Source organism: Homo sapiens, chromosome 11 (assembly GCF_000001405.40).
Source record: "Homo sapiens chromosome 11, GRCh38.p14 Primary Assembly".
In the NCBI taxonomy this organism is placed as follows: domain Eukaryota; kingdom Metazoa; phylum Chordata; class Mammalia; order Primates; family Hominidae; genus Homo; species Homo sapiens.
In genome coordinates, this window is record NC_000011.10 from 19102048 (window position 1) to 19125645 (window position 23598).

The 23598-nt window shown below is 42.9% G+C and overlaps 1 protein-coding gene across 8 annotated transcripts in view, besides 3 other annotated features; it reads left to right on the forward strand.

Annotated features, from left to right (window-relative positions):
- Nucleotides 14851-15090: a silencer, noted in NCBI's record as "silent region_3195". NCBI's record gives its function as "represses an Ori minimal core promoter by ATAC-STARR-seq in GM12878 lymphoblastoid cells {active_cell/tissue: GM12878}" and the evidence as "EXISTENCE:reporter gene assay evidence [ECO:0000049][PMID:35858748]".
- Nucleotides 15057-23598, forward strand: part of ZDHHC13 (zDHHC palmitoyltransferase 13) — a 59312-nt gene continuing 50770 nt past the window's right edge. For 6 of the 8 annotated variants that reach the window (NM_019028.3, XM_047427141.1, XM_005252996.3 and 3 more), the window contains exon 1: nt 15121-15229. In NM_019028.3, coding sequence (NP_061901.2) covers nt 15203-15229 — 27 coding nt within the window. In that variant the 5' untranslated portion in view covers nt 15121-15202. Of the gene's footprint in view, nt 15094-15120; nt 15230-22861; nt 23134-23598 lie in introns of those variants that run through there. The other 2 variants (XM_011520195.2, XM_047427139.1) reach the window with 2 other exon arrangements.
- Nucleotides 15141-15220: a silencer, noted in NCBI's record as "silent region_3196". NCBI's record gives its function as "represses an Ori minimal core promoter by ATAC-STARR-seq in GM12878 lymphoblastoid cells {active_cell/tissue: GM12878}" and the evidence as "EXISTENCE:reporter gene assay evidence [ECO:0000049][PMID:35858748]".
- Nucleotides 15311-15540: a silencer, noted in NCBI's record as "silent region_3197". NCBI's record gives its function as "represses an Ori minimal core promoter by ATAC-STARR-seq in GM12878 lymphoblastoid cells {active_cell/tissue: GM12878}" and the evidence as "EXISTENCE:reporter gene assay evidence [ECO:0000049][PMID:35858748]".

The following is a 23598-nucleotide window of genomic DNA, read 5'->3' on the forward strand; positions in this document are numbered from 1 at the left end:
AGCTCATTACCTATGGAGCCTGAGTTAGAAAAGAAAATCCATTATGAAAATGACATTCTTAATAATGAAATCTTATTCATGGATGGATGGATGTTGGGGAAGCTGTGAAATGTGGCTTCGGAGAGGTTTGGAATGTTAATATCTGAGGATTCGGGAGATGGATGTTGTAGATAATCACAATGTAAATATTAGAATGTGAGTCACTGAGCCACTTGAAAAAAAATATTCTACATACACGTTACTCAGTAGAAAACACCTGTTGCAAGAAGTCACAGAAGACATGGAGCTGTCAGAAAAAAAATCATTGTCAGAAGAGCTTCAGTGAAGATTTTTACCAGTCTAGACATGCTTGGTAGCTGGTAGTTCTTGGTGCTCTATTTGGACTGGAGGAGATTTTGAAATCTATTTAACCCAACTCTTCCCCACCCCCCATGCCACTTCACAGATGAAGAGCCTGAGGCTCAGAGAACCTCAGTTCAGCAGTGTGTAATGAATTAGTGTGTGGTAGAAACTTTACTCCTGGGCCCATGCCTCTTCCCATTCACCATGTTGCCTCCTAGGACACCCCTCAACACACACACACACACACACACACAGACACGCACACACACACACACACACACACCTGCTCACCTTGTCAGAGCCAGTATGGGCCTTATCTCCAGCCTTCCTTGTGTACTTGCTGAATCAAGTTAATCTATAACAGGTGTTTATTGTGTGGAATTGAGAATCTAGCCACTTTACACTTGGCTGGATAAGAAAAAAGTGCCATTTAGAATGTGTTTATCTGGTTTATTAGACTCTACCCATTACTCTTGGGAAACAAGATTCAAGTTGAATTGGGGCACCAGAACATCTGGAAATGAGAGGACTTCAACAGTCCTTTGGTTGAACCAAGTCTTTTCTGGTCTAATGTAACTTCAAATCACTCTTGTCTTTATATACAGAAACCCTAAAGGAACCTCACTTGAACTGAAGCATCACACACCTTCATTACTACCTCAACCTCAACATGATCAAACTCCTCAATCCTAAGTAAATGCAATATTATATCCAACACGTGGGTGGGTATCCTGTTTTTGAGACAGGGTGACTTATTTCAGTAGCTGCAAAGTCCTGAAAACAATGATGGCTACTGTTTCAGTGTGGTTCTGGCAAGTCCTGGGGTAAGTACAGCTGATGAAGTCCCTCAGGTGGGTACAGAGCAAGTGCTTAGCAAGGATCTCATGTAATCAAATCAACAACTGGAGGGTCAGTATCTCAGCAAGTGGTCACCAGTGTCCTCCCTGCACTAGATGGTGGGCCTGGTGGTGATGCTTATAGTGGAGAGCCTCTACCTTGCTGCAGCTCCAGACTCCCCAGTAAATGATCAAATGGTAGAGGAAGAATGAGCAGCATTAATGAATATTTATTTGTTGATTCATTCATTCAACCAATCCTCCTGGGAATTCTCCTTTCTCCTGGCTTTGTGTTTTTTTGTGGAGGCAGTTTGAAGTAACACTTCTCTCCACTCTCTACTTCCCCCTCCCCCTCTCCACTCTCTACCTACCCCTCCCTCACCCCAAAAAGAGGAGAAAAGACTTATAAGAGAGTTTGGAAGACAAGCTTTCATACTCAAATGAGCCTGCTGTTTTTACCTCTGAGATCTGCCTACCTTTTGCTCCATTCCACGCACTCGGACACTCAGATGCTTACAGTGGTCCAAGACTGCCAGAAATTGTGATTGGGTAAGTCTCTAATTAAGGGGGTGAAGTATCAGAAGCCTATTGGCTAAAAGACCTAAGACCCTTCCCTGATATCAGTTTTCATCACTAATGAAGCTGGTATTTTTATCTCTTTGTGTCTGACTTTTGTGTGTGTGTATCCTAATGGGTTCTGAACTTGGATGGAGAAAAGAAGGTATTATTTATTGACCCCCACAACTCTGAAAACAATGAAGCATATACTTCATGTATGAACTGTGCAAGAACAAACATCAGATTGAGTAGGACAGGATCCCATATTTCCATCTCTCACTGGGGGACAAAGAAAAATAGGGTGACCATCTCGCTTTGGTTTTATCATTGAAAGTCTGGTGTCCCAGCCAGGTGTAGCAGCTCACGCCTGTAATCCTAGCACTCTGGGAAGTTGAGAGGAGTGGATTGTCTGAGCCCAGGAGTTTGACACCAGCCTGGCCAACATGGAGAAACCCCATCTCTACTAAAAATACAAAAAATTAGCTAAGCATGGTGGCGTGTGCCTATAATTCCAGCTACTCGGGAGGCTGAGGCACGAGAATTGCTTGAATCCAGGAGGTGGAGATTGTGCCACTGCACTCCAGCCTGGATGCCAGAGTGAGACTCTGTCTCGAACAAACAAACAAACAAGAACAACAACCAAAAAAAAAAAAAAAAAAAAATCAAGAAAGTTTGGTGTCCCAGGATACCCCTCAGTTTCAGGAAAACTGTGATAGTTGGCCACCTACAAGGTAAAGAGTTCATTACAGAAAAATGCAATAATGTAATAAAGGAGCATGCAGAACCCTAAAGGGGGAACAAAGAAGGAAGTCATGACTTCTTGGAGAGATCAGGGAAGCTTCCAGAGGAAGTGCTATTTGCCAGGGCAGGATGTGGGGGTGTAAGTGGGAGAACTGGATCGAGTAGAACTAGTTACTACCCTGGCTAGCTCTCTGGTATACCCAGGAGGTAAAGTTCAAAGAAGGTGGCCACTTTTTTTTAAGGTCACATGATGAGTTAGCCAACCTGGAAACGAAATCCACAGTGCTAATTCCTTAAGCCAAGCCCTGTAACTCTCAAGTTTTCTAATTAAAGAAATTCCTTCTAATTTGTCAGTGGATGATGAAGAAATCATACTTTATTCCTGTTATTCCTTCCAGGAGTATCTCTGACCCCCTGGAATTAAAATACCATAGCCTTGAAAAAACAGAAAAAAGAAATTCCCGATAGTCAAAGTATGTGTATAACCTGCCCAGGGACTGACTGGTACAGATGCATGAAGCTCACCTCCTTTGCCTCAAGAAATGGCAAACTCTATGGTGCAGTTTACAATCCAGAGCTTCCAGTGGCATCAGACTGAGAGGATTTGGCCTGAAATCACATCCCTTTTTTTTGGTTTTTCCCCCTTCCCTGTATTAGTCATGATTCTACAGAAAAACAGAACCAACAGGAAAGATAACAGATTTATTTTCAGAAATTTGTTCATGCAATTGTCAGGACTGGCAAGTCTGAAAGCCATAGGGTAAGTCAGTGGGCTGGAGGCTGAATGTTCGGGTAAGAGTTGATGTTGCAGTCTTGAATATGAATGCTGGAATTTCTATGGTGCCCTCTGAAGGCAGAATTCATTTTTCTCTGGGAAACCTCAGCCTTTGCTGTTAAGGCGGTTGGCTGATTGGATGAGGCCCATCCACACCATATAAAGTAATCTGCTTCACTTTAAGTCGACTGGTTTTAAACATTGACTAAGTCTCAACTAGTGTTTGACCAGGCAGCTGGTCACCATAATGTAGCCAAAGTGACATAAAATTAACCATCCCATTTCCTCACTTCCTAGCAGGTGTTCCTGAGAGCACTTCCTTAATAAGGCGTTTGCATAATAATCCTCATCTGGTGCTCAGCTTCTAGGGAGTCTGCACTGAGACAAATGGTGCTTGGTATCCTTGTTTGTACCTTGCTTGCCTATAGGCTTGCTTTTGTATTATCTCTCATTCTCTCCAGAAGCAAGCCATTGGGGAGTGGATTTTTGTCTGTCTTGCTTACTACTATTCCTCCAGTCCCTAGAATGAGACCTAGCACATTGCACACGGGCTGTCTTTTGCCTGATTGCTCTCAAATTTCATTTCCACTGCTTTGTTCTGCTATGGGTTTTAAGGAGGCTTGGACACTGGAATTACATTCCCTGGATTCTCTTGCCAATCGGCTTTCAGATAGAAAGCCAGTGAGGCCTTCTATAAGCCTAATAAGGCACTGGTGGGAAATTGGAAGACAAGAGGAAGAGAGAAGAGGCTCTTTTCCTGCTTCAGACTTCTGTTAGCAACCTTCCAACAGGCACGGAGAACAACGGGTGTTTTGGGCACTTCTAGCACCCACTAATGGAGCTACTTCCTCAGAGCCTAAGCAGCTCTCCAATCAGCGTGCACAGTGCCCACCATGGTCTTGGCACCAGCCACCTGTGGTCAAAGCACCAGCCCAGGCCTCCCCATCTCCTGGGTTCTAGATCTGGTAACAACACCTCTACTCTTTTGTTCCCACAACCTTAGGAATGGAAGCTTCTTTTGGCAGTTACTAAGCTCTGAGTCCATTTAAAATCGCTCTTTGCTCTCTCAACCCTTCCAACACTGTGTAAGCACTTTCTTATGTTAAATTCCCGCATTTAAAATATCTAGAGAGATATGTGTTCTCATGACTGGACCCTGTGAACCCTGGCTGATATTTAGGCTCTCAATAAATACTTGTTGAATACGCAGAATTTAGCCCCAAGTTTATATTCTTAGAATTCATAGTTCAAAAGAAAGAAACTTGGCTTTTACAGCATCAATAGATCAAATTATATGAAAGTACTCTTATTGGCCCTGTTTTGGGCACATGCTCCCCCCCACCTCACCCCGACAATCCCCCTGGGCAAAATGATGGTGTACCTTGATTGGTCAGGCCTGGCTCAGGGACTCAGCCCTATGGCTCATAGCAGGCAGGATACTGAAATTGACAATCCCACCTAAACCACTTAGGGTAAGGGAGAGGCACTTCCCCAGTGGAAGATGGGCAGACAAAAAAGAAATTTTCCTACCACAATGAACTTATAGTCTTGGGGGATATGATTTAAAAATTGTCCTAATATAATGTGGTAAAGCACCAGGTGTTCTGGGAGCAGGGGGGAGCATTTATTCTACAAAGTCCTTTCATATACATGAAACAATTTGTTCCTCACAATGCCAACCACTATGAAGTTGGCATCCTCATCCTCACTATATAGAATCTTTGGCCTCCTATGATCTGTCTCTTCTCTTTTTGACTTCAAGTCCCTCTTTGTCAAGCTCCCTTAGCCAGGCCACCCCACCCTCAGCTTTCTTTTCATTCCCAGATATCTCAACCTCATTCCTTTTTTTAATGTAGAATTCTTCTGACTTGATGGCAAATAAGTTGTCCTTGGTCCCATAACAATATTGGCACCTATCACTATACAAAACACCCACCCTAAGGCAAACACCATACCATATGCTTTACACACATTCTCTCATTTAGTCTTCTTAACAGCCTTACAAAATAGTAGTAGAATTGCAGAAAGATTGTGTGACTTAGCCAAGGCTACTTGGCAAGAGCTGGGATATAAAGCTAGCTCTGTCTGGCTCCCACAACAGCAGCATCTCCTCCACTTGGTTTCCACACCAACTGAGGGATGGTTGAAAGAGCTGGGGATGTTTAATCAGGGGGACAACACACTTAGGGGTACCATTATCCATTCAAGTATCTAATGGGCGGTGAAGTAGAAGAGAGAATTCACTGGAATTTTTGTGGCGCCATAACCAAGGAAAAAGGACCGATTATAAACATAAAAGTGAGGGATAGTTGGCCGGGCGCGGTGCCTCACGCCTGTAATCCCAGCACTTTGGGAGGCCGAGGCAGGCGGATCACGAGATCAGGAGATCGAGACCATCCTGGCTAACACGGTGAAATGCCGTCTCTACTAAAAATACAAAAAAATTTAGCCGGGGGTGGTGGCGGGCGCCTGTAGTCCCAGCTACTTGGGAGGCTGAGGCAGGAGAATGGCGTGAACCCGGGAGGCGGAGCTTGCAGTGAGCTGAAATCGCACCACTGTACTCCAGCCTGGGAGACAGCGAGACTCCGTCTCAAAAAAAAAAAAAAAAAAAAAAGTGAGGGATACTTCTGTCCAATGTAACCAGTATGATAGAAGGTAGTGAGTATCCCACCACTGTGGGTATTCAAGGAGATAGTGCCAACAGCTTTTAAGGGATGTGGGAGAGTGAGAGAACTCTGACTCAGGGAGCATATTGGGTAGAGGATTTCTAAAGATCCTACAACTATGAAATTACTCCTTGTTTTCTGCTAACCCCATTTCCTCAAGTTAGAATCCTTGCAAGTCTGACTCAAGATTCTGGATCAATTCCAGAGGGTAAACTGTTTTGTTTTTAAGTTAAGCCCTGTCACAGTGGCTCACACCTGTAATCCCAGCACTTTGGGAGGCTGATGTGGGAGGATTGCTTGAGCCCAGGAGTTTGAGACCAGCCTGGGCAACAAAGTGAGATCCCGTCTCTACAAAAAGTTGAAAAATTAGCCAGACATGGTGCCTGTGATCCCAGTTACTCAGGAGGCTAAGGCTGGAGGATCACCTGAGCCCAGGAGGTCAAGGCTACAGCGAGCTGAGACCATGCCACTGCACTCCAGCCTGGGCAACAGAGTGAGACCCTGTCTCAAAGAAAAAAAAAAGTTAAGCCAAAAGACACGTTCGTTGGAAACAAAACAAAACACGTTGATAATATGAACATACCATAGGGACACGTTGTACATTTTTATGCGTCTTTAAGCATTTTAATCTGTCTCAGACTTTTCCAGAGTTTTTAGTTTCATGTTTATCATTTTAAAAATACTCCATTTTTATCCAATTAAGATGACTGTGCTTGTTTGAAAATAGTTTTACTGATTTTAATATTCCGCCTCAGACTCTAAGAGAATTACAACAGGAGCTGAGCTTGTGTTCGGCACGTGGGATCAAGCCCTAACAGCACCACTTTGTTTGCCGTATGTGGCCTTGCCCTGCATGCAGCTCTGAGGCTGAGCTCTTAACATGAAATGGGAAATAGAGCCCTTCCTCCTTCCTCCGAGGTTGTCCTGGGAGAGCTTGGCTGGTGGGAGTGCTGCATGAAAGAAAGGACCCGGCTGGGGCATGAGGTGAAGGGCTGACAAATGGGCGGAGTGCCCACACTCTGAGAGGCATCTTGGAGGCATTTCCTTCTGTCTCCCTTTACCTCGCCCATGGGTCTATCACCCCAGGCTTTGTGCTAAGGGGAAGATGTGGGACTGTTTCTCTCGTCCTGAGGCAGGAGTCCAACTGTCCAACAGGACAATCTGCTATAAGTGTCCATAGATGTTTGGAATTGGGATCAAACTAACTTGGCCTTGGAGCTGAGGACTCATTTCTTTCTCATCTGTGGCATACGTGGAGCTACTGTTTCCCAAGCTCCATTTTGCAGGTGAGGAAACCAAGACCCAGAGAGGTTCCCTGTCTTGCCAGAGGTCAGGCAGCTGGTCACGCTGTGTAAAGACTTGAAAGCTGGGCCTCCTGATGCCCAGCCCGGTGCTCCTTTCACTGCTTGCACAGTTCTTCCTCCATGTGCAACTTCCCGTCAGGCTGGTAGAGGAAGAAGCTGAGCCAAGGAAGGGTGGGATCTTGCCATAGGCCTTCTGTGGGTCTGTAATGTGGCCCAGCTGTGATCACAGCTGGAGGCCTGGCCTCTAGTGCCCTGGATCCAGGTCCCTAGTGACACTGTGTCTTGAACCTCCTTTCTAATTTGCCCCATCCTGGGGACATGCCAGCCTGAGAGCTCTTCCTGTTGGGGTCAGGTGTGGCCCCCACAGCCTTAAGACACTTGAGTTTCTGATACGGCTGGTGTCAGCGCCTGTGCCATGAGCACCACCGTTGCTCCTCCAGCTTCCCACAGAAAGGGTAACTGGTGGGCCATCTTTCTCCTGAACCAACTCTGAGTGGGGGCAGGACGTGTGAAATTTGAAAATGAGTCATATGACTAACTGAAATTAGGAGGCACCATGCCCCGATTAACCTCAAATTTAGTGCTTCCTTCCCCGTTCCTACCCAACCATGTCCTAATAATGAGTTTCCTGACAATTTTTATCCCTCACTCAACAAGTATTTATAAAATACCTACCTGTGTATGTTCTGTACTAGGCTCTGGGGATGCAACGATGACAGAAAGAACCCTTAACTCACAGACAAGCTGGAGGCAGAGGCAGAGGCAGAGGAGTAAACAGGCAGTTACAATATAGCAAGACAAGCACCATGCCAGAATGCTGAGGGGCTGTAGAGGATATCAGTCACCACAGTCCCGGGGATAATGGGACGTTTTGTACAAGGGGTAACATCCGATTCTTCTCCTCCTCCTCTTCCTGCAGAATTCCAATCTATCATTTTATTCAGTGTTCTGCCTCTCCTGCCATCATGCCTATTGCCCTTGCTTGCAACAATCCACATGTCCAGAAATCAGATACATTAGCAACTCAGTAGCCTTGGGAATGATCCCAGCGCCTTCAGCTTGGGAAATCCTGATTTTGCCATGTTTCACCATCTATGCAAAGCACAATGCAGAATTATTTTATATAGAAACTGAGATGAAAGGTAACCATTTGGCCTCAGATGGTGCCACCTTCTGTATCTTGAACAACTTGCAACACAGCTGGCCAGCTTGGCCCATTACCAGGGACACCACTCTATCACTATAATTAGAGCAGCAGTCAACAAGAGATTAAACCAGCGCTTGTTCTTCCATGAAAGCAGAGCTGAGGGGAATGCAGCTTTTCTCATGAGCACAAGTAATTTAGTGTGTAGGGCAGGCTGGTGATGGAAGGAGAACAATTACTTGTTTAATGTCACCTGTTGAAACTAGAAATGAATTTTGGCGAGTGGATCCTTGGTCATTGTATTTCCTGTAAAGTCATGAATATTCCGGAGCTAGGCTCTGGATTAAATTGGTCATGAGGATCAATGTTAAGGCCAAGTCTTCCCTAAGATTTCAGTTTTTCTCAGCCGCCTTTATAATAGCCAACATTTGTAGAGCACTTACTGTACTGCATATCATATACATTTTTTTTTTTTTGTTTAACACTTTTATTGAATCCTCTATGAAGTGGGTACTATTACTATTCCCATTTTATAGATGAGAACATGAAAGCTCAAAGTGGTACAGTCTCTTCCTGGGAAGATGCAGAAAATGAGCCTCTAAAACCTATGACCCACCTTGATTTCCCCAAGTGGGCATATTTGAAAATATCTTTGAAAAAGTAGCTGTATGAAGTTTTGAAAGGCCCTGAACCTGTGGCTAGTTCCTGGGCTCTGAACTTAATTTTTGTCAGTGGTGATATTGACAAGGAAACATCGCTGCCCTTGTCATTGAATGTTTTTGGCCTCAGCTCTTCAGTATTCTCTAGCCTGATATTGTCAGCCAATTGCTTAAACTTCCTGAGCCATGTCTACAAAGTGGGATGCTAATCCCTGTTCTGACTACTTCACAAGGCTGTTACAAATCTCAATCTCAGCGGAAGCAAAAGTGTTTTGCAAACTGTATAGAGACAGAAATGAGATTTTTAAATGCAAGTCAACATTTTTGAGCACTTAGCTTGTGTTAGGAACTGTGCTAGGTGCTAGAAATGCAAATAAAAATGAATGACATATGTTTGTTTACTCATTCAACAACTGAATATTGAGCAGCTCCCATGGGCCACATACCGTGCCATGCACTGGCAATGCATCTGTGTCTGAGACAGGCCCAGGTTCTGTGTTCACGGCTTATGGTATGCAGAGAAGATAAATGTTCTCAACCTGAATGCAGCAAAGTAATAATGTTCCACAGGCGCTGTGATAGTAGCATTTCAAAGTGCTGTGGGGCACCTAACAGGGCATCCTAACCTGGTCTAGGAGTCCAGGAAGACCTTCCTTGGGAAGTAATACTTAAATGTCTGCTGTGAGCACAGAGACTATGGGGAGATGGGTATATAAACCAATAAATACAAACTATGATAGCAGGATATAGAAGGTGGAGAAGGGAGTCTTGCCACATCTGTATCAGAGTCAAGGTAGATTTATTACCCAATTCTGAGTGTTGCTGTGACAATTTGGACATAGCCATAAAAAATTTCCATAGATGTTTAAATGTATCACTGCAAGAAGATGACTAAGACTCAAAATAGTAACTACTGAAAGTAGTAGGAATACTTCCTGCTTCACCTTCTCCCTCTCTACACCTCCCTTGCATACACACACTGGCACACACAGACACACACACACCTCACCATATAAATCTGGTTAATCTGGCAAGTAAAATATACAATGCACACCATGGGCTCCTAACCCAGATAATAATTGTGGTTCTTAAAATATGTCATGACTAGATCTTGGTGATCTGTATATAAAATGAGTTTTTAACTTTTCATTGTTGAAGCTTTTTCATGAGTAGAAGACAAGAGATTGAGCAAGACTCGTAGGTAATCCCTGTCCATCTCCCAATCCCTAGCCTGGAGCATCTGTGAGTTGGGTTACAGTTAGAAAGCTGAGGCTGCCCAAGCGCTGGCAAGAGAGCCATACAGGGTCAGAAGAGTTGTCCTAACCCTATATTCACTGCTACTTTGGAAAGTGCATTGTTCAAGTCATTTTCCCTCCCTGAGCCTCAGTTTCTCCATGGGTGAATGAAGTTGGGAAAGTCCTTTTGAGCTGGTGTTATGACTTTCTGAAGAGGACTCTCTACCCCACCTATCGCCCCAGGCTAAAGTGGGTTCCTGTATTATATTCTTGGCACTTTTCCTGTTTAGCATTTGCCATTGTCTCTATTTCTTTTTATCTATTTATTTATCTCTATCAGTATTTGCCTCCCTTGGACTGAATTCCAGAAGAGCAGAGGCTGTGGTGTCCACCACTTTACTCATATGTTTAGCCTGGACCTGGTGTATGTTCAGAGCTCAACAAACGTTCACTACCTAAAGTACAGCAAGCACTCACCCCCCCCAGCCCCTCTGGCTTGGTACCACAGAGCATCAGGATTTCCTACCTGGTGTTTGTGAGAAGCCCTCTGCTGACAGATGTGTGGGGTTTTTGGACATTCCAAAGGGTCATTTTGTTGCAGCCATCAGAATGATTACAACCATAAGTCCCTGGTTCAAAAACCATCCCTGTCCTTTCCACAGGTATGGAAGAAGCGAGGCCAGAATCAAAAGTTTAGTCAGAACAAAGTCAGCTGATGCTCATATTGTGACAAGGAGGATTAGCAAACCTTAATATGGGACTTTTTAAATCCAATAGTGGTTAAACTTTGTGAAATCAGCACATCTTAGAGTGATTTATGGAATTGAGCTGCCTTTAATGTCGTCTTATAAACCATTTTTTTTTCAACTGGGCTCATTTGTTTCTTCATTTATTTAAAAAACACGTCTTTTTAGCCTTTAGCATGTGCCAGACCTTGTGCAAAACATAATGCAGACAAATGGATGTCAACCGGCAGCCAAGTGGAGGCTGAGTGGAGGAAAGAGGTGGCCAAGTGGAGGAAAGAGGATCTACTTAAGAACTACAAGGCTGACTATAAAAAGTAAATATTTGTGACCCCATTTGATTAAAGTCTGTCTCTTACTGCTAGACAGTAGAGTAAGTCCCAGGAAGCCACAAAACAGTTTTCTCTGTCTTTCTCAATACCGAATCCCCAATGCTGAACAGTGCCTGGTCCATAGAAGGAACTCAATATATGTTTGTAGAATGAGAGAAATAGTGTCACCTAAAAGAGACTTAAAAGTGCTGGGGGGACTGGAAAGGTAAAGCTTAGTCTCAGCTGGGAAATGACATGATCAGAGCTGAGAGAACTGTAGAGTTACTGCTTCCAGCCTCTGTTCTCATCCCTATTTTACAAACAAATGAACTGTCATTAGAGAGCGAAAGTGATTTGCCCAGGGTCACACAGTGTAATGAGCTGAATTTTGTCCCCCTTAAATTCATATGTTGAAGTTGTAACCCCCAGTACCTCAGAATGTAACTTTATTTGGAAATAGAGTCTTTAAAGAGGTAATAGTGTTAAAATGGGTCATCAGGGTGGGCTCTTATCCAATATAACTGGTATCTTTATAAAAAGAGGAAGTTAAGATATGGCTACACAAAGAAGGAGGCTATGTGAAGACACAGGGAGAAGATGGCCATCTACAAGCCAAGGAGAGAGGCCTCAGAAAAAACCAACCCTGTCAACACCTTCATCTCAGGCTTTTAGTCTCCAGAACTGTGGAACAAATTTCTTTTGTTTAGGCCACTCAGTCTGTGGTACTTTCTTATGGCGGTGCTACCAAACTAATACACACAGAAAGTGATGGCAAATCTTGAATTAGAAGTTGAGCCTGCTGAATCTCTATCGTTGGCCCTTGGCATGACAGTACCCATCTGGTACAGTCAATTGCCCTCCCCAACACCCACTCCCAAGGATGACAATGGCAATGATGAGAATAGTTAACATATACATTGTGCCTAGTATGTACCAGACCTTCCTCTAAGTACTTTACATACATTAGCTCACTTAATTCTCTTGACAGCACTGTGAAGTAAGTACTGTACTGTTATTATCTCATTTTTACAGATGAGGAAACCGAAGCACAAGTGACTTCGTAACTTGCCCAAGGGCATGCAGATACTAAGTGCTGGAGCTGGGCTCCAGGAGCCTGCTTCTTCTACCATCATACTATTCTAGTGGGCTATGTCTACCAGCAAAGGTATTTTCTTTTTTTTTTTTTTATTATACTTTAAGTTCTAGGGTACATGTGCACAACGTGCAGGTTTGTTACATATGTATACATGTGCCATGTTGGTGCTGCACCCATTAACTCATCATTTACATTAGGTATATCTCCTAATGCTATCCCTCCCCCAGCCCCCCACCCCACAACAGGCCCCAGTGTATGATGTCCCCCTTCCTGTGTCCAAGTGTTCTCATTGTTCAATTCCCACCTATGAGTGAGAACATGCGATGTTTGGTTTTTTGTCCTTGCGATAGTTTGCTGAGAATGATGGTTTCCAGCTTCATCCATGTCCTTACAAAGGACATGAACTCATATTTTTTATGGCTGCATAGTATTCCATGGTGTATATGTGCCACATTTTCTTAATCCAGTCTATCCCAGCAAAGGTATTTTCAAAGTTGAGAGGTATTGGGGGCAGTTAGAGGCTATCACTGCGTTTGGTTTCATATAGCCATTAGACATGGATATGCTTAATCTGAAATAGCTCACTGGAAGCATAAAACATGAGCAGAGGGAAACCAGGAGCCTGACTAAGGAGTGGGGTGTTCGGATTTAGTTGCTCCAAAATCTTCCAATGTGTTAGGATATTAGTGCAGACGCATTGAAACAGATTTTAAGCCTCCCTCAAGTTCAGCATCTTCTAAATCAGACTTTGAAAATGAAAGAAACAAACTACTTCAGCCAAAATGCTTGCAGTAAGAAACCTGGGTTTGAATACTCTCTTTACTACTTACTTGCTGAGTGACTTGGGGTTTATGGAATCAGCCTGAACCTCAGTTTCTCCTCCCAGGAGATGAGGAAAATACCACCCATCTCGTGGATGAGACATAATGTATGAAAACACTAGCACAGTGCCAACACATAGTAAGTGATGAATAAATAAACCTTTTTTTTTTTTTTTTTTTTTTGAAACAGAGTCTCGCTCTGTCACCCAGGCTGGAGTGTAGTGGCGCGATCTCGGCTCACTGCAAGCTCCGCCTCCCGGGTTCACGCCATTCTCCTGTCTCAGCCTCCCTAGTAGCTGGGACTACAGGCGCCCACAACCACGCCCGGCTATTTTTTTTTTTTTTTTGTATTTTTAGTAGAAACGGGGTTTCACCGTGTTAGCCAGGATGGTCTCGATCTCCTGACCTCGTGATCCACCTGCCTCGGCCTCCCAAAGTGCTGGGATTACAGGTGTGAGCCACCACGCCCGGCCAGAAAGCTCTTATTAGTTAAGCAAAATGACCAAACCCAAACATTCCTTCCTGTATGAATCCTCACCCAATGCCTCATCCTAACTTGTCGGAATTAATTGCTTTTTCCTCTGGCTTTCGGTGGGAGTTGCTTGCACTTCTACTTGTCACTCCATTTGTCCGTGTATTAATGACACGCCTGTACATCCATCCATCCATCATTCATTAAAATTGTGCTGAGCATTTTCCATGTCCCAGTGCTGTGTTAGACACTGGGAGTTCAGAGATGGATCTGACATGGTTCCTATCCTCAAAGGGTTTGGGCTTTTGGGGGCAAGCCAGGGCTGACGTGCCCAAAGGACACAGACACTAAAGCAATAGTAATACATCTACGATTTTATTGTATCATAGCAATATTTTCCATGGAAAACCCAGCACTTTGTTGGATTTCTATTTATTTATTTTATGATTTAGTATTATTTTTATAAAATAAGGAAGTCATAATGTTTTCAGATCGTTTTCAAATTAGCTTCTAAAGGTCTTAATCTGGTTCCACTTGGCAACAGACACATCTAAGGAACCATTACAAAGAACTGTGTTAAGTGCTGGGCTAGAAAAACCCCAGTGTTTACTCGGGGCTGAAGTAGGAGAGCCCCACTGCCCCACTGGAACGCCCCAAGGGAAGGAGCCATCCCTAATGCTTGCTTCATAGACCTTCAAGCTGGACAGGGCTTAAATGCCAGCTCCTCCAGTGCCCTCCACAAAGGGTCGTGGAGGTCAGGGGGGAGGTGCACTTCAAGTGGGAGGCTCTCGCCCACTCCCCCTCTAGCCTGCGCCGTAGAACTCATTTTTTGTTTCATTTGAGGAAACAGAACCTCAGGCGGTAGAGGTGACTTGCCCAAGATCACGCAAATGGAGTGGAAAACATTTAAATAGCTAACATCTATTGATTCCTTTTTATATGTAACGCACGGGCTGAGGGGCTTTACATGCGTTTTCTCATTTAATCCTCCTGATAATTCCATGAAGTAGGTACCCTTATTTTCCTCATTTCACAGATGAGAAAATTGAGGTAAAATAAGAGACTTTCACAAGGTCATTTAGCAATTAAGTAGCCAAGTCCAGATTTGCTCTCAATAGATGGTGGTTGACGTTGGAATAACAGTCTGATCCTGACCCTGGACGCACATCTGGGGCCCGTGGCACCTGGGGCAGGGAGGGGCGCTCGGTCCTGGGCTGGGGCTGGGGGAGCGACCGGCACGGGCGGGCCGGGGGTGGAGCCTCTGGCGAGCTGTTCACAGCGGGCTTCCCAGGAGGTGAGAAAGTCCCGCCCCTAGCCGATGGAGGGCTGGGATTGGTTCTCCGGGACCGATTGACGGCTCAGGGCACGAGCGGGGACCGCAGCGGCGGAGGTGAGGGCGCCAGCAGGAAGTGGGAGAAGAGGCGACCCAAGGCGGGCTGGCGGGCTGGCGGCAGTCGCTACTTGCCTAGTAGCCTCAGCCGCTGTGGGCTCCTGGGGAGATGGAGGGGCCGGGGCTGGGCTCGCAGGTGAGTGCGGCCGGGCGGTGGCTGTCCTGGGGGCCGGGAGAGCGGCTGCAGCTGTGGAGGAAAGGATGGTGTGGGTGAGAGGCCGCTCGATGAGGGGGTTTCGGGAGCGGCGGGGCCTAGGTCTGGGAAGCGGGAGCCTGGAAACACCACGAACGATGCTGGAAATTGTCTCTGAGGCGACTGGGAAGAAAAGGCGAGGACTGAGGGGTGAGGGCCCGAGCCGGCCCCTCCAGCCTCCATCCCTGGCCAGGGCGCCCCCTGGGGCCGGTACCCGGAGCCCGGCGGGGACCTCTGTGGGCCTGGGGAGGGGACGATGGCCCTTCCCGGGAGAGGTGTCAGGTGACACACCTGATTCGGACCCGCCCGTCTTGACGTTGGCCCGGAGTCGGAGCGGTTCTGTTGATTTCTTTTTCAGCCCTGGCGTCTTAGCACCCGCCTTCACCCCACCCAGTCCAGTTTTCGCTCCTGTTTCCGCATCCTTGCTTACTCCTTGAAATAATTAAGGCTGCTTGTTTAGGATGGAGGAAAGGGGCGTGGAGAGGGGAGGTACACCACAGCGATCTGCAGAATCTCAAAGGACAATATTCCGTGGAGGAGGTGTTATATAAAAGCCAGACGGAGGTCCAAAGAAGCCAGGCGGGCCAGTCGGAGAAGTTACAGGAGGTAGATGTTGTCTCCAAGAAAACAAGATTTTTGTGCTTTTTGCTTATGGCCCTTTCCTAGTGCCTAGAGTACTGACTAGTATATTGTAGACGTTCACTTAATATTTATTGAATAAATGCAGAATTTCCAGGTTCAGCCAGTTTTAGTGAGTGCATAACCCATGTCAGATGCTTTCATATGCATTATTTTATTCCAGAATTGAAGCATCCTTAAGAAGATATTATCCCCATATACAGATGAGAACGAACACTAAAGCTGTCTTCAGCTGGAATCAGTTAGGCGGTAGATTCTCAGTTTGGGATGATTGGATTACCTGATCTCTAAAAACGTTTTTCCAGTCCCGAGAGTGTTCCTCATGCTTTCCCTTTCCCTTCTTTCAGCACGATCTTGTGTAGGTTTAAGTGAGGGACAAGATGTCTGGGGAAATGTCAAGGTGTTCTTATTGGTTATTCTTGAATTTTAACAGAAAAAAAATAGTTCTCAGGCAGACTGGATTTTACCAAAGGGTGTTGAATCTTCACATGGAAACAGCGCCTCATTCTTTTTCTCAGAGAGGCTCAAAGAAAAGTTGGTAGGAGTAACTATTATGTCTTAATTACTGCCACTCATTTACAGAAGGCTTCAAGTGCTTAAAGTTCACTCTCTCATGCTGAAGGGAAGATTAGCCTTGTCCCAGTTCCATGGCCTATAGAGAGGGAGAGAATGATTTGGTGGTTGAATTTAGTAGGGAAAGGTAGAGAGATCATTGTCGTTGTTAATAATAATTGCTCTTGTTCACTTTTTCAGTAATGTGAAGACCTCACCTATATATACTGCTTTGCAGTTTGCAAAATACTTCCCCATTTTTGATCCTCACTATAATCCTCTGAGGTGGGGAGAAATGATTATTCTGATTTTAGAAATGAGAACAGAGGCTCAGAAAACTGGAATCACTTGCTACAAGTCAAATAGCTGCTAAGTGATAGAGCCAAGACTTCAGTCGTTCATTCAGCAAATGTGTTTTGAATGTCTGCCAGGCACCGTTTTAGGTGCTGTGATAAATTAGTGAACAAAACAGACAAAAACATTACTGCTCTCATTGAATTTGGTTCTTTTGATTCCAAGATCGGTGCTGTTGGATTTTTGCCAGGATTTGCCTATACAATCAGGTCTGCAGTTTCCTTTCTGACCTCATCTTTTTTTTCTTTTTTCAGACAGAGTCTTGCTCTGTTGCCAGGCTGGAGTGCAGTGGCGCGATCTCGGCTCACTGCAATCTCCGCCTCCCGGGTTCATATGATTCCCCTGCCTCAGCCTGCCGAGTAGCTGGAACTATAGGTGCGGACCACCACACCCTGCTAATTTTTTGTATAGTAAGATGGGGTTTCACCATGTTGGCCAGGATGGTCTCGATCTCCTGACCTTGTGATCCGCCCGCCTCGGCCTCCCAAAATGCTGGCATTACAGGCGTGAGCCACCGCTCCCAGCCTGACCTCATCTTTTACTGTCTTGCTTGCCCGGTCATCCCCAGCCACACCAGCCTCAGAGTCTTTCATACTTACTTCTGGAATGCTCTTTCCTTGTGTGCCCACTTGGCTTATTCCCCCACCTCTTTAAAGTCTTGACACAAATGTCACCTCTGTGTGGCATTCTGTGACCCCCGTATTTAAAATTGCAAGCCTTTTCCATCATCAGCACTACCAGCAACACTCCCTGGCCTCCTTCCTTGCTTTAGATTTCTCCTCAGCATTTAACACCATTTAACGTACTTATTGGTCTTGTTTATTGTTTCTTTCTCCTCCACTGAATGTTAGTACTATAGGGACAGTGATTTTTGTCTGTTATGTTCACTGCTGTGTGCCTGGCATCTGGAACAATGCCTAGCACTGGTGAGTACTCTGTAAATACTTGTCAATGAATGAACTTGGAAACTAAACTCTGGTACTTCTGTTAATGAGAACTTTAATGACATGAGAACTTTTAATGAGTGTCACATATTTCTCTCTCACTCGCTCCTTCTCTCTCACTCTCTTTTTATTCGATAATCTGGCAGGATAATGCCTGTCATTGGAGTTTAAGTGTGGTTTTCTAAATCTTGATTTTGGCTTAAATTAATGCCCACTGTAACTTTAACAATTCTTATATACAATTTAGAAAAATAATCTCATTCATGACATCTCTGTGTGAGAAGTATTACATGATCCCTCAGAGCTTAAAGATGCCCTAGTTATTTATTGTGTAAGAAACCACCTCAAAACATAGTGGTATAAAACATGGCTTTGTCATGCTCATGGACTCTGTGTGTCAGGGACTTGGAGAGACTGCAGCAGGGTTGGTTTGTTTCTGTTCCACCATGTCTAGAGCCTCAGCTGCAAAGACTCATAAGCTGGAGATGAATTGAGAGCTGGGGCCAGTATCTATGAGTGTCTTCACTTACATCTGGCAGTTAACTTTCAGTAGAGACACCTACACGTGACCTGGGCCTCTGCACAGTATAGTGGCTGAGTTCCATTAGTGACCATCTAATGAAAGAGCCAGGAAGAAGAAGCTGCCAGTTTCTAGGGCCTGAGCCTGCAAACTGGCACAGCATCACTTCTGAAATATATTATTTGTGAGGTAGTCACAAAGCTCAGAGTCAAGAGGAAGGGACATAGACCTTTACCTCTTGATGGAGAAGTAGCAAATAATTTTGAGGCTATGTTGTAAAAATTACCACACATGTATTCATATGTCTGTTAGATAATTTTCATAATATCTTGTTCTGCTTTTCACTCTTCTGTGGAGGACAGTGAGCTAGCTACATATTTCTTTCTTGGTATCTCTCTTTTTTCCCTCTTTAAATTTTTTTTCCCTTTGTATCTTAATTAAAACAAAAACAACAAAAAAACCATTTTATTCTAGTATCTTGAGGTGGTTGTAGACTGGAATCCTAGGAAGACGAGAGGAAGTAAAATGGAATAGAATCATAGAATACTTGGAGCTGGAAGGCTTTTCAGTGAATTACCTAGTTGAGAGATTCTTAAACTGGCATATAGGATAAGCTTCAGGGCGTTAGTGAACATCTTGAAATTAGTGAACATCTTGAAAAGTTAGTTTACATGTGCAGTTGTGCATTTCTCTTAAGTAGAGAGGCCTTAATTTTGGTAACATTTTCAAAAAGGTCCATGACATTTGGAAGGTTTGAGAACCATTTATCTAGTCTAGCCCTTTAACTTTTCCCATGAATTCAAGACGCAAAAATAATAACTTACTTTCCAAAGGTTCATGGCAAGTTAGCAGAGCCCAGGTGTCAGGGCTCCTGATGCAGTGCATTTTCATTGCTAGTCAGGTGGTCCAGTCATGATACGATCTTGTTTGATTGTTTGCTGCCACTTGGAGTCCACCCATTCTTTAGGTCAAGGTCTGAGGAGTAGTCTGTATTTTACTCTGCTCTGAAAATGGGGAAGGGAGTATATCCCTAACTAGAATATAAGTTCCTTGAAAACCAAGGACCTTGTCTGTTGTTCATTGCCATGTTGCTGTGTCTACAATAGTGCCCAGCACGTAGTAGGCATTCAGTAAATGTCTAGAATGAATGTATTATGGAAGGAACTGTGTCTTATTCATCTTTTATCCCTGATTACCTACTTCTGTGATTTGTATAGGTGTTCTTTATATTTCCCTGAATGAATAATTGATGAAAACTCTTGGGAGTTGGCTGGCATCATGAGAATTTGCTTAGTCTGTTCTGTTACCTTAACATTGTAGGCAGCCATGTAGCAGTTAAGCTTCTTTATCCATGTAGTGTGTTTGTTCATACAGTAAATTCTTTACCAGTTCACAAGTCAATAGTGACTATTGTAATAGCTCACCTTAGGACCATGCAACATGAGACTTAGAAGGAGCTTTATGGGTGTATTGATATGTCCCTTTCACTTTACCAACGTAGAAATGAGCCAAAAATAGAGTAGATGATTCACCACTATCATACAGTCAATGTGGCAGTACCAGGAATTTGGTTATTTGGCCCGTGTCATCAGTGCAATCAGGAGAGATTAGGCTGAGAGAATACTGTGGAAGCAGGGACTCAATGTGTCTTCTTCCCTATCTTTTGAGACTCAAGGTTACCTGTCTTCTTCTCTGTTGTGTCCTTGCCCTCCTTTTCCTGACCTTGCTTCACAGAAAACTTCACAGAAAATAAAAATTTCAGCTCTCTTCTGTTTGAACATGGGGATAGGAGCTGGCGGCCAATTTCATATTGTCGTGGGTCATGTTATTGTAGGATTTGACATGTATTTCTAAATTATATTCATTAACTAATAGCTCAGTATATGTTCATGGCAAGATTTGAATTAAAGATGGTGGTTATAAATCTGCCTCAATTTAGCCTCTTGACAATTTTGAATTTTTTCCAAGGGGGTACTGACTTGTCAGATTGGATTAGATCATCTTTGTTTATACTTCATGTGTCTGATAAAGAGTTCCTGATCTGCTATTTTCTTATTTGCTTGTGCTTATTATTATTATTATTATTACCTCAATTCATGGCTTCTTTGTAGAAATCAGCTTAAGCTACTTGCTCATTTTGGGAGAGGTAATTTAGTTAAAATTTAACAATATAATTTGAAAATAATCTAATATATATTGTAAAATGCTGAAGGTCCTACTGTCAACTCTCTGTTTGTGGAAGCTTTCTCTGCCCTTAGGTTACCTTGTAAACAGAGTATAAGGAGTGACCTGCTTGGCATATCAATAAATGAGACTGCCATCGTTAAAAATTAGTAAAGCTTTCCTGCCAGCAGAGGTGTGCTAAAAAGAAAAAATAAATTTGGTAAAGCTTTAAAAACTCAAATTTGTAAATTTTATTTTTCCTTTTTAAGTAAAAAGATAAAAAATTATTATAATAGAAGCTTTAACATTTTCTCACATTACCTAGTGGGTCACTGCATATATGGCTTTGAGTGTACTTTCCTCACTTTGTAGATGATTGACTTCAAACACAAGCTTTGAATATAGTCATTTTTAGGTTTTACTTTGATCTGCATGCGGGTAAACAATGATGACATGAACGGAAGATATCTTCTGTTTTCTAGTTTCTTAAAGTTGCCATTTAATCATATATAATCACATATTGCCTGCTATTATTATTTCACTCTGTCTCTGACATATCTCCCTTATTAGACTTAAATTCCTGGAGGATAGACACCCATGTCTTATATGCCCTTAGCGTAATTGTACATCATAAATACACAGTAATTAATTGCCGACTAAACAAATATTCTCAATTGTGGATATTCTTCACATTAAAACATGTAAACCTCCTCAACTTTATACATGAAAAATAAAGCTGATGTCCTTAATGCCTTAAAATAGTATAAGAAGCAACAAATTTGTATCTAGAATGAGTCAGTTTTCTGTGATGAAAAATCTGTGTATAAACAAAGGGTCAGGGTGGGGTGTGGTGGCTCATGCCTGTAACCCTAGTGCTTTGGGAGGCCAAGACGGAAGGATAACTTGAGGTCAGGAGTTTAAGACCAGTCTGGGCAACATAACGAGACCAGTCTGGGCAACATAACGAGACCTATCTACAGAAGAATAAAAAAATCAGCAGGGTGTGGTAGTGCTTGCTTATAGTCCTACCTACTACGGTGGGTCAGGTGGTAGAATCACTTGAGCCCAGCAGATAGGGCTGTAGTGAGATTTGATGGTGCCACTGCACTCCAGCCTGGGTGACGGAGTAATACCCCATCTCAAAAACAAAACAAAAAAGGCTTAATCTTTCTAACCTACAAAGAGAAACAGATATGTGCAATTCATTAGAAAAACAAGTAGACTATGAAAAGGCAATCCACAAAAGAGAAAATATGGAGAGCCAGTATACCTAACAACAACAACAACAACAAACAAAACACTCAGACTCATTAGCAACTAGGGGAGTACAGGTGAAAGATAGGATGCCATTTTTAGCCATCAAAGTGTCAAGGTTGTAAAAAGATTGATAATATTCAGTTCTGGGAAGGTTTGTAGGGAGAAAGAACACGTATATACTTTGCTATTGGGACTGTGAATTGGGGAGAGTATTTGGTCAGAATCTATTTATGTTTAAAATGCACGTTTTTTGACTCAACAGTCCTACTTTGAGGAATCAATCCTATAGAATTAGAATGCCCAGGGTGTTGATTGTGTATAGATATGAAAGGCTGAAATCAACCTGTGTCTCTAACCAAAGGGGAGTGTTGAATGAATTATACTAGATCTATATACAATGGAACAATAGTGAAATATTACTGAACTGCAGGACTGTACATGATATATTGTTACATGAGAAAAGCAAGTTGAAGAATAATGTATATAATGTGATACTATTCTTTGTTCAATAAGTATAAGAAGAAAATGATTAAAAATGTGGATGTATGTATGTATATAGCACAATATTATATATGTTAAAATATATATACATAATGAGGGAAGATGCACCCAATTGTTAATAATGGTTATCTCTGGTGGTACAGTATTGAAGAGGAAAGAGTCCGGATTGTTAACCCTGTATTCACTTCTGTATTGCTAGATCTTTAAAATTAATATGTTATCATTTTATGGTTTTAAAATTCTAGTAAAAATTTTTTATATAAAAATACACTGATTTTTTTTGTCAATCTTAGCTGCACTTTTTGTTATACCTGTTACTTATTGAGATTCTAGAAATTTTTAGTATAGTTCAACTCTTTTCCTCAACCCTTTGCCTTCTTCCAATTGAATATAATTACTGTGATATCAGGAAAAGCATCCTAAAGTAATGTTTTTATTTACATTTTAATCTAACTACCTACATGTTTATTTTTAGCTGTGTGTGATTCTGCGTGTGTGTGGGGGGGTACTGATTATTTACCAGATAAATCAGAATTTACCTATTCAGAAAAGCAGGTGGACTGAAGAAGAAAAAGACCGGAATTCAAAAACCACCAAATCAGTAGCTGATTTACCTTTTTTCTCTCTGATTTGCCCCCAGCCTTGACTTGAGCCCTGGAAATAAGCATCAGTGCAGACGAGTGCTCTATGAGAAGCTATCTAGTTAAAGCTCAAGGAGCCACAAAGGGATTTCCTGGCAGCACAGTCACCAGAAACACTGAGGGAGAACTCTCTGAACAGAGGAATTGTGACCCCAAGACAGTAGTTTTTAGACGTGACACCAAAAGCACAATCCATAAAAGAACAAATTGATAAATTGGACTTTTTTAAAATTTAAAACTTCTGCTCTATGAAACAGACTTTTAAGAGATGGGAAGGTAAGGTACAGACCAGGAGAAAATATCTGCAAATCACATATCTGACAAAAGACTTGTATCTAGAATATATAATATAAAGAACTCTCAAAACTTAACAGTAAGAAAACAAACAGCTCAATTAAAAAATGGACAAAAGACTTGAACAGACACTTCACCAGAGAAGATATACAGGTGGCAAATAAGCATGTGAAAAGATGCTCAACTTCATTAGCCGTTAAGGATATGCAAATTAAGACCATGATGAGATGCCCCTATACATCTATTAGACTGACAATCCCAAGTGCTGGTGAGAATGCAGAACAATTGTAACTCTCATAGTTGTTAGTGGCAATGCAAGGTGATATAGCCAGTCTGGAAAATAGTTTAGCAGTTTCTCATAAATTTAAATATACCTAACATATGGCCAAGCAGTCTTATTCTTAGAGAAATGAAAGGATGTTCACACAAAAGTTTGTCCACGAATAT